This window comes from Homo sapiens, chromosome 14 (assembly GCF_000001405.40).
Source record: "Homo sapiens chromosome 14, GRCh38.p14 Primary Assembly".
NCBI classification, from domain to species: Eukaryota; Metazoa; Chordata; class Mammalia; order Primates; family Hominidae; genus Homo; species Homo sapiens.
The window spans coordinates 64594999-64604188 of NC_000014.9; the positions used below are offsets into that span (position 1 = coordinate 64594999).

A 9190-nucleotide genomic window follows, 5' to 3' on the forward strand; every position below is an offset into this window, starting at 1 on the left:
TGTTTTAAGGCCGTCTACTCCAGGCTCCTATCACACTTGAACCATCACCCTCTTCTGAGATTCAGCCTGCCCCACTATGTCAGCATTTCCATCTTCACATCTGTTTGGGGCTTCAATATCATCACAGATACAAACCATCCTATTTAGGACTTGACATATAGCATTCTGATCTCTTAGGTAATTATTTTACTATATTAAGAAGGAAAAGTAAATTGGAGTCCTCCAGGCCCCATTACCATTCATCTCTCCTCCCTCTGAACAAGTTTCAGATTGCAGAAAGAAGTTTCAGGGAACCAAAACCATGGGATGGACTCCCACCCCTTGTTTTATTTGCAGATCTCTCTGCTTTCATCTCTAGAGCAGTCTGTGCCTGGCAGCAGGTTCATAAAGTTGTTCTGTGTCTGAGTTTGGGGACATGCTGGTGGCTGTCCCTGTGGGGTGATGTCTCAGGCAGTCTAGGTGAGCCATGCCAAGAGGCTTGGTGTCTGGGACCACTTCCTTTGCACCTTGGTCTCCCTCCTCCTTGTGCAGAATAATTTGTTCTCATTTCCTTTACCTCTCCTACCTCTAACCCAGAGGCTCATGCAGAACACAAAGAAAATGCCCTGGGACTGAGGGCCTGGGCCCTCTCCCTGAGAGGTCAGGTCACACTGAAACCTGGTACAATAGTGGTAACCCAAGCCTAAGACCTTGGTTGGGGGATGTCACTTCTCCCACTTCCACTGGCCAGTGTCAGAACATTGGCTCTATTTAGAATCAAATTCTTCAGTCTATTTGTGGTTGCCCCATATCAACCAGTACTTCTACTGGAAACCATTTTTAATGACATCTTCCCCACTACTTCCCACAAGTGATACTTGTTCAGTGTAAAAAACCTTAGAAAACACAAAAACCTTAGAAAACACAAAGAAAAAATTAAACACTCATAATCTCATGACCCAGAAAAACTTATTGTTAATATTTTCAGTCATTTGTGTGCATATATGTACAAGCAAAATGGGGTCATACCATGTACCCTTTTGGCAACCTCCCTCTTTCACATGGTAGTACATCATGAACATTCTCCTACATCAGCCAATATTCTCTTAAAACATGATTTTAATTGCCCCACAGTGTTCTATGGTTTGATATGCCACAGTGTACTTGCCCACTCCTCTACCTTTTTTGTTTTTGTTTTTTAAAGAGACTGGATCTCGCTATGTTTCTCAAGCTGGACTTGAACTCTTGGGCTCAGGAGATGCCCTGGCCTAAGCCTCCTGAGCAGCTGGGACTGCAGTGTGCACCACTGCACCTGGCTTTCAATCCCCTACTTTCTTTTACACACATGTTGCCGCTCAAATTACTGGTCATTTCCTTAGGATAAGCTCCTGCAAGTGATACTGCTGCATCAAAGGGCAGATTCATTCTCAAGAACTTACTAGTGTCAAATTTTCTCCCAAAATGCTAGCTCCAAAGCATATTACCTGCATCTGTGTATGAGAATGCTCACTTTCTCGCCACTTGCAAACTCTGGGCATTATGATTTCTTGGAATCCTTGCCAAGTCTATAATAGTAAAAAATGGAATCATATGTTTGTTTAACTTACATTTCCAATTAACAGTAAGGCTGAGTACCTCTTCACATTGGCCATTTGTGCCTCTCCTTTTGTGAATAATCACCTATTCATACTCTTTGCTTATTTTTCTATTAACAAACTATCATTCTCTTACTGATTTGTCATTCTTTGAAGAGATTGCAAAGATTCTTATGAGGAAAACAGGTTACAGAAAAGCTGAATAGAATAAGATCCCGTATGTGTGAAAAACACCTACACTTACATATTTAGAAGATCTGGAAGGAAATAACTATTAACAATGGTTCTGAGAAGTAAGATTAAAAGTTATTTTTCTTTTTTTTGTTTACTTTTCATTTATTCACATTTCATGGATTGTTACACTTCCTCGATGGGAGCATTCAAAAACTAATACAAGCTGAGATTATATTGTCTGGACAATTCAAGTATTTTAGTTTTAGAAAACAATTTCCTATTTAAAGTAAAAAGCAAACAATTTATCCATCTGATTGCTAAGAAGTTTTACATCTCCATTACAATTGTGTCTGCATCAAACGGAGAGTCCTTCATCCTCAATATGATTGTTACTGGTTGAGAACATAGAGTGGCCTGTGTTCTGAGTGCCTGATTGGAAAAGACCTCCCCGTCATCTACCATACTACGGGACAAATCAGTATCTACTCAAATTCCCACTTCCAGAATGAGAGGACTCATCAGGGGTTTAGGAGTTTGCAAAGCCTTCAAAATGTATTGTGCTTGAATTTTGACTCTTCTGAAATAGAATAACTGACAAATGCTCAAAAAACAAACTTATTTAACTTTTACTGAAAAGGCTCTCAGTGAAAACTTGTTTTGAACTCTACCAGAAGGTAGAATATTAGTTTTTCTTCCTCTCCACACCAGAAAAGGTAGTTTTTTCTTTTTTCTTTTTTTGACATGCAGCATATATAAAATGATCTAGAATTGAAATTGTAAAATAGAATAATCCTCTTAAAGAAAATCAGCCCATGAACAGTCAGACTTGTCCTTCCATGGAAAACATAATCTAAACTTCTTTAAAAACTGGCCATATTTTCAGTCTGTAATTCAAATAATGAATATGGCATAACAAATTTTTTTGCTTACTAGGAATGCGCAAAAGGATGAGATGGATACACAGGTTTAAAAAAAAAAGGCCACTGGGATACTTAGTATTTGTCCAGATGCAAAACAATTTCAGAATAACAAAATACACACCTTGCTTTAGGCCACGTATATGATACACTTCATAGATTCTCAAACAAAAGATGAAAATTTCAGTCCACATTAAACATTTTAAAGCATAATTTCTAATATTTTGTTAAAAATAAGTCAAACTAAAATAACGCATAAATCAGAATTACCTGTTAACATAGTGGGGAAAATAGGTAAGCCCTCCGGGGCCCCCGTGCCCCAAGTAAAAGACAAGGAGTTAAATTTTACAATTAAATCCACGTATACTCAGGCACTTTACACTAATAATCAAAGTGGAGACCAACCAGTTCCTAAAGCATAAAAGAGTGATTTTAAGAAAATATCACATTTTGAGTTATGGTATATTCATCACATTTTTCCCTGTAATTTTCACTTTAACAGTGATAGTCTTAGCAGCAAAAATTTGCTGGGAATGTTAGGAAAAAAGGAAGCCACACATACCCACTAATTTAAAAATATATGAACTATTTTTTTACAGAAGGGGCAGGTTTAAAAGAAAACCCAATCATGATCTTTTCATGCCATTTTTTGTGAACTTTCCATACACACGCAGACGCTAACAAAGTACTGTGTCATATACACTGAAGTGTCCTAAAGATGCTTGTGAGCTGCTGATTGCAGCTGACACCAGGGAAGCATGTATGGCTAAGTTGCAACAAACTTAAATTTGTTCCCCTTAGTTCTTCATCTTTTTAAAAGTTGAATAAACTTAATGTCAATCAGGCAGGGCCGGTATTAACAGCATCAACCACTTGCTTACTATGAATCATCTGCAACAGAAACTCACGTGCATTCTCAATTCTAAAAAGTCAGTGTAAAAATAATGGCCACTTCCTCCCTAGGTGCCTACTATAGCTATGTCTGACAGCATCCTGTAACAGTACAAGCACACCTCTCTCTGCACGGATTCATCCAAAGCCACACACTAGGGCCAAATTCTCCCAGTGGAATCAAAACACTGAAAGTAGAGCAAGAATCTTATGACAACGTTGGCCCAATCACACCTCAGGTACTTAGAAGTTCATCATATTTGATCATAAAATTGCTCCTGGCTCCAAACCTTACACTTAAAGACTGTAGTTTTAAAAAAGCCACTGTACAGTCCACAATTATTCTGACTATTCTTTTCTAAATGAGAATGCGCTACGCACTGAAGATCAGAACACACACACGTGAGCCCTTGGGCACTGACCCTGCCTGTACACAAGATCAGCTGGTACTAGTCTCAAATGATTCATGAGGAATCAAAGTAGAAATTTAAACATTCAATTCTGTATCTCATTCATGTGCCCAGAGTCTTCAAAGAATGCTCGTGTTAGTTACCTGACGGCTCTGGAGAAGTGACATGGATATTCGTGTGCATAACCATGGCTCCCTTCCAAACAGACAAATGGAATCTTACTCTTAAAAAAGTAAAGATATTTCAGATATCAAATGTATAATATACTGCTGTCTAAAGTTAAAGGCAAAATGTACACACGATTTTCTCTTCCATTACCTTATTACGTGTTTCCTAGTGAATTCACATGGCTTGTGTGTCAAAGCTCCCAGGCACGTCACTTGGTCATAGTTTTCATATGCGTGGGGTTGATCATGGTACAAATGCCTATGAGCATCTTCTTTTTCTAGGATGGTCTCATTTGACTGTCATTTCGTAAGGGTTCACTCTCCATGGTGTAGATGATAAGCTACCAAATTTGTGCTTTTAAACCCATTCCTGGCAATCCCCCTTTATCTTCATTTTGTCTTTAGGGGGATAAAGAAGTAACACTACCTCATGAATAGAAACTACAAAGCCAAAAAACTCCTTCACAAGCTGTTCATTTCTTTTTAGAATGAAAATGCAGGTCCTGAATTCTTGTGAAGCAGCCCACAGGGTTACAGGCCAATGATTCGAACGCTGAGGTGAACACTTAGTACTCACATTTTAGCTTCAAAATAAAAATAAAGCAGAGGACAAACGCCTGTCACAGCGTGGCAGCCTGGTTCATTTGATAACACAAGTCTCACACGTCGGCTGAGCCCACTGGAGAGAAGCACACAGGCCAGCTTCCTTCTGAACACAGCCGGGCACGTGTTCAAAAGCCTCTTTCATGGTGGCGATGGACCCCAAAACCCACGGGTTGGAAGAGCCTTTGGGAAAGCGAATCGATACCCTGATTGCAGTCCTTGAAGAAATCACTTAGGGTTAGTTTAATAAACAAACGAACATTTAAAAAATCTTCCAAAAATTGCATTCAAATGTATTTTACACTTGAGGCAGTTCTTAAGAAGTGAGAGTGCGGTTTCTTGACACATTTAAAGGTTTTACTGGCCACATTAATCTTCCTCACAAAAGTTTTAAGTTATCTATAAGTTCTTAGAATGTCAAAGAAGAGAAGAAAAACTGACTAAGTTTAAGGGGCGGTGGAAGAAGCAGCAACTTGGCAATAATTCCGCAGCCGACTTCGCGTGTTCAGGCATCCTTTTTCTCCAGTAAAATTTTGTGCAACTCGTCTGCATCCTCGCTGGTTTTTACCCGAATCAACATGGTGACTGGCATGGTGGCATTCTTCTCGTCGATTGGTGGATTTGGAACACAGACGATAAGAACGTTATTTTTCCCTGTTCGCGTACATGGCATATTGGGTGGAATCAGAACATTCAGCAATATGTTGCCTAAATTGGTGTCTGCCCGCACCAAAAGCTATGTCTTCTGATTTGCCGTAGGTTTTAAATGCAGAGTACCTATGCCTTTCTCTTTAAACTCATTGTCTTTCTTGTAAAATAGTTTACACTTTTTGGAGTAAAAAGCATCTTCTTTTACTTCGGTAACTACTACTTTGGGTGGCTCATCATTCTCTTCTTAATCTCCACCTTTGCATTCACCACTGTCACCTTCCGCTTGGCCCTCCAATGGTTTAGTGGGAAATGGTGAAGAGACTGGTTTACTCTGGATAATATCTTTGCCAAATAAACTAGAGTTTCCAGGGGAGAATGAAAATCCAGTCGGGGGACAGAGCTTAATGAGCCCAAAACAGAGCTATCAACTTTCTCGCCGAAATTAAATGAGGCACTTGTCGCTCCTAGTGATGATGGGTCCGTTTTCTTTTCAGATGCCACCTCCACCTTCTTGTCAGGTGTATCTTCAGTTTTGCTGCCATGAAACAAAAACGTTGACTCTTGCTGTAATTTTGTTGAGCTAAAAAGGGAAGGAGACTGTGTTTCAGCCGCCGCTTTGTTAGATTCACTTTCAGAATTCCTGCCATTGTTCCCTTGTTGCTGTTCAATGTTTGCTAAATATTTCTCATAGTCTTTAAAGATAGGTGTCAGATCACAGAGGGAGTTTGTATTCGCGTGCTTCACCATCCAATCCCGCACGGAGCAGTCCAAGGCGGCCAACTGCTTGTGATAGGCATTTCCGACACAAGCTTTACTGGAAGCAAGGCCAGAGGAGGAGGGCTGCTGACTGTCCCCATTAGTTTTGGGATTTGAAACATTTTTATCAACCAAGGCGGTAGGGCCATTTGCAGCAAGAGAACCAAAGGCTACCTTGGGCTCTGCCACTGCCTTTGCACTGGTGAAGGGAGGGGCACTGGTTATGTTGTTTCCATTCGACAGTCCTTCCAAAGGCTTCCCTCCAGCGCCACTACCAAATCCAGGAAACCGTCCTCCTCCAAAAGGTACCACCAAACCTTTAAAACCTTTAAAGTCTCCTCTACTGTCAGATTCGAATCCACCATTTCTGCGCTTTGCTTTCTTTATGGCTCTATTCTTCAAGACTTCCTCACTGGCCACGGAGAATGTTCCCACCTCTTCAGCTTCATCTTCTTGATCCCAATTCCTATCTGTCAGTTCCTTCTCGGCATTTCTTTTGGCCATGTTTTCGAACCTCCTCGGCGGCCGCCGCTGCACTCGCTGGGTCTTGGGTGCGGCGAAACCTGGCGCGAGGCGGCGCAGGGGTCTGGAGCGGCTGGTGGTCGCCGGGCTGAGCGCGCTCGGCCGCTTCCGGTGCTGCCCTGCGGTCCTCAGAGGACTTGGTGCTCGGCAAGCCCAGAGACTCAAACACCATGTCCCCAGGGGGCTCCTCACGCTGTGTTCGGCGGGGAGGCGAGAGCGCCGGTTCAGCCGGAGACCGCTGGGGGGAACCGCGCGGAACACGCTCCGGGCGGCCATTTTGTAAGTCGACAAAAGTTATTTTTCTTTAAGCATTTTTTACATACATGTATTTTCTTCTTCTTCTTCTTCTTTTTTTTTTTTTTTCCTGAGACAAAGCCTCACTCTGTTGCCTAGGCTGGAGTGCAATGGCATGATCCCGGCTCACTACAACTTCTGCCTCCCAGGCTCAAGCCATTCTCCTGTCTCAGCTGCCCGAGAAGCTGGGACTACAGACACATGCCATGGTACCTGGCTAATTTTTGTATTTTTAGTAGAAACCGGGTTTCACTATCAAACCAGGCTGGTCTTGAACTCCTGACCTCAGGTGATCCACCTGCCTCGGCCTCCCAAAGTGCTGGGATTACAGTAGTGAGCCACTGCACCTGGCCGTATTTTCTTCTTTTTAAAAAACAGTAGATATTTGTTTTGAAAGTGTCCTGGACTTCATGCATCGTGGCATTTAGCACCCAGTCCCACCCAGCAGTACACAGGGACCTCAATGCAGATGAGCAAGAGACATGAATAGGTAATCAGCCACAAAAGGAGGAACACAAATGGCCAATGGGAAGAGGGGTTAGTTCTTGCTACTAACTGAAGTATAAACTAGAACATATAATGGGCCGGGTGTGGTGGCTCGTGCTTGTAATCCCAGCACTTTGGGAGGCCGAGGTGGGAGGATCACCTGAGGCCAGGAGTTCGAGACCAGCCTGGCCAACATGATGAAACCCCATCTCTACTAAAAATACAAAATAATTAGCCAGGCATGGTGGCGGGCGCCTGTAATTTCAGCTACTCCTGAGGCTGAGGCAGGAGAATCTCTTGAACCCAGGAGGTGGAGGTTGCAGTGAGCTGAGATCGCGCCACTGGATTCCAGCCTGGGCAACAAGAGCGAAACTCCGTCTCAAAAAAAAAAAGAGAGAGAGAACATATGATTCCATTTTTTTACCTATAGAATTGGCAAAGATTTGAAGAAATGATAATGACTGTTGGCAAGTGGGTGGGAATGTGAGCATCCTCATACACAGAAGGCAGGACAGGAGCATGCTTTGGTGTGAGCGTCTGGCAGGCAATCTGGCAGTAACATATTACCTTTGGAACATTTGTGTGTTTTGCGTATTTATTTAAGACTGATTCAAATATCTGGCTCCTTCATGTTGATCTGGGACAGTGTTGTTCATTATTGATTTAAGACTTATTGAGGGGTGGAACTATGTCATTCCATCCAGCCCTGTGACCAGATAGACACTTCAGAAGTGCTTGTGAGAATTATTATAAAATAAATAATTCATCACCTTGAATTTACAAGCAGTCATTCATTGATAGGTGACTCAGTGCTCAGTGCCTTGCTAGGGCTATGAGGGACTCAAGAAGTATAAGGTGGGGTTCTGCCCTCAGAGCTGAATCTAGGAGTAAGGACAAAGCTCAGTAACAGAGCAAGGGGCAGGCAGGTGAGGAATCGTGGAGACTAAGAGCTCAGCAGTCAGCCAACTCATAATTATCCATGCAGGAATAATGAGGACCCACAGATTAGACGATCTCAAATCTCATTTCCATTAGTCGTTCCCTCCTCCTCCTGTACCAATGCCTTGAGGAACACTCTTACCAAGTAGCCCAGAGGGTTCTTCTGAGTTTTGCCTCTTTTCCCTGGCTTTTTCTACCCCACAAGTCTGAAAATGGCACGTAGTCATTTCCCTTCCAAATTGTACCTCAGAGCGACCCAAATAATTGATGAGGGGAAATTTCTCTTTATAGAAATATTCCAGGTAATAAATTAAAAAGGAATTATATAGCTGGACTGTCAGCATTTTGAGAACACTTAGTGCAATAATGGATCTAGGTACTGATTATCAGTGGCAGCTGACATCTCAAGAGACACCTGGGCATCAGGTGCCCCCTGATGGGACTTTACAACACACCTGGGCATCTGTGAGTTGCCCTGTGTATGCACTGGGAATACCTAGGAAATGTTCTTGCCAAAAAACAAAACCTGCATCAGACTGAGCTGCTAAATCTAACATCAAATCTATAGGAAATTCAGGGACAGAAAAAGTTACCCAGTTTCTTCAACAAATAGCAAGGGGATAAAGGGCTAGAAGGAGAACCTTTAGGTAAAAAAAGAAACAAGAGACATATTGGTCAGGCATGGTGGCTCATGCCTGTAATCCCAGAACTTTGGGAGACTGAGGTGGGAGGATTGCCTAAGGCCAGGTAGTTCAAGACCCACCTGGTCAACATAGCAAAACCCTGTCCCTACAAAAAAAAGCTAA

At 42.3% G+C, this 9190-nt stretch overlaps 1 pseudogene; it reads right to left on the reverse strand.

Annotated features, from left to right (window-relative positions):
• NUP50P1 (nucleoporin 50 pseudogene 1) lies at nt 1894-6953 on the reverse strand (annotated as a pseudogene).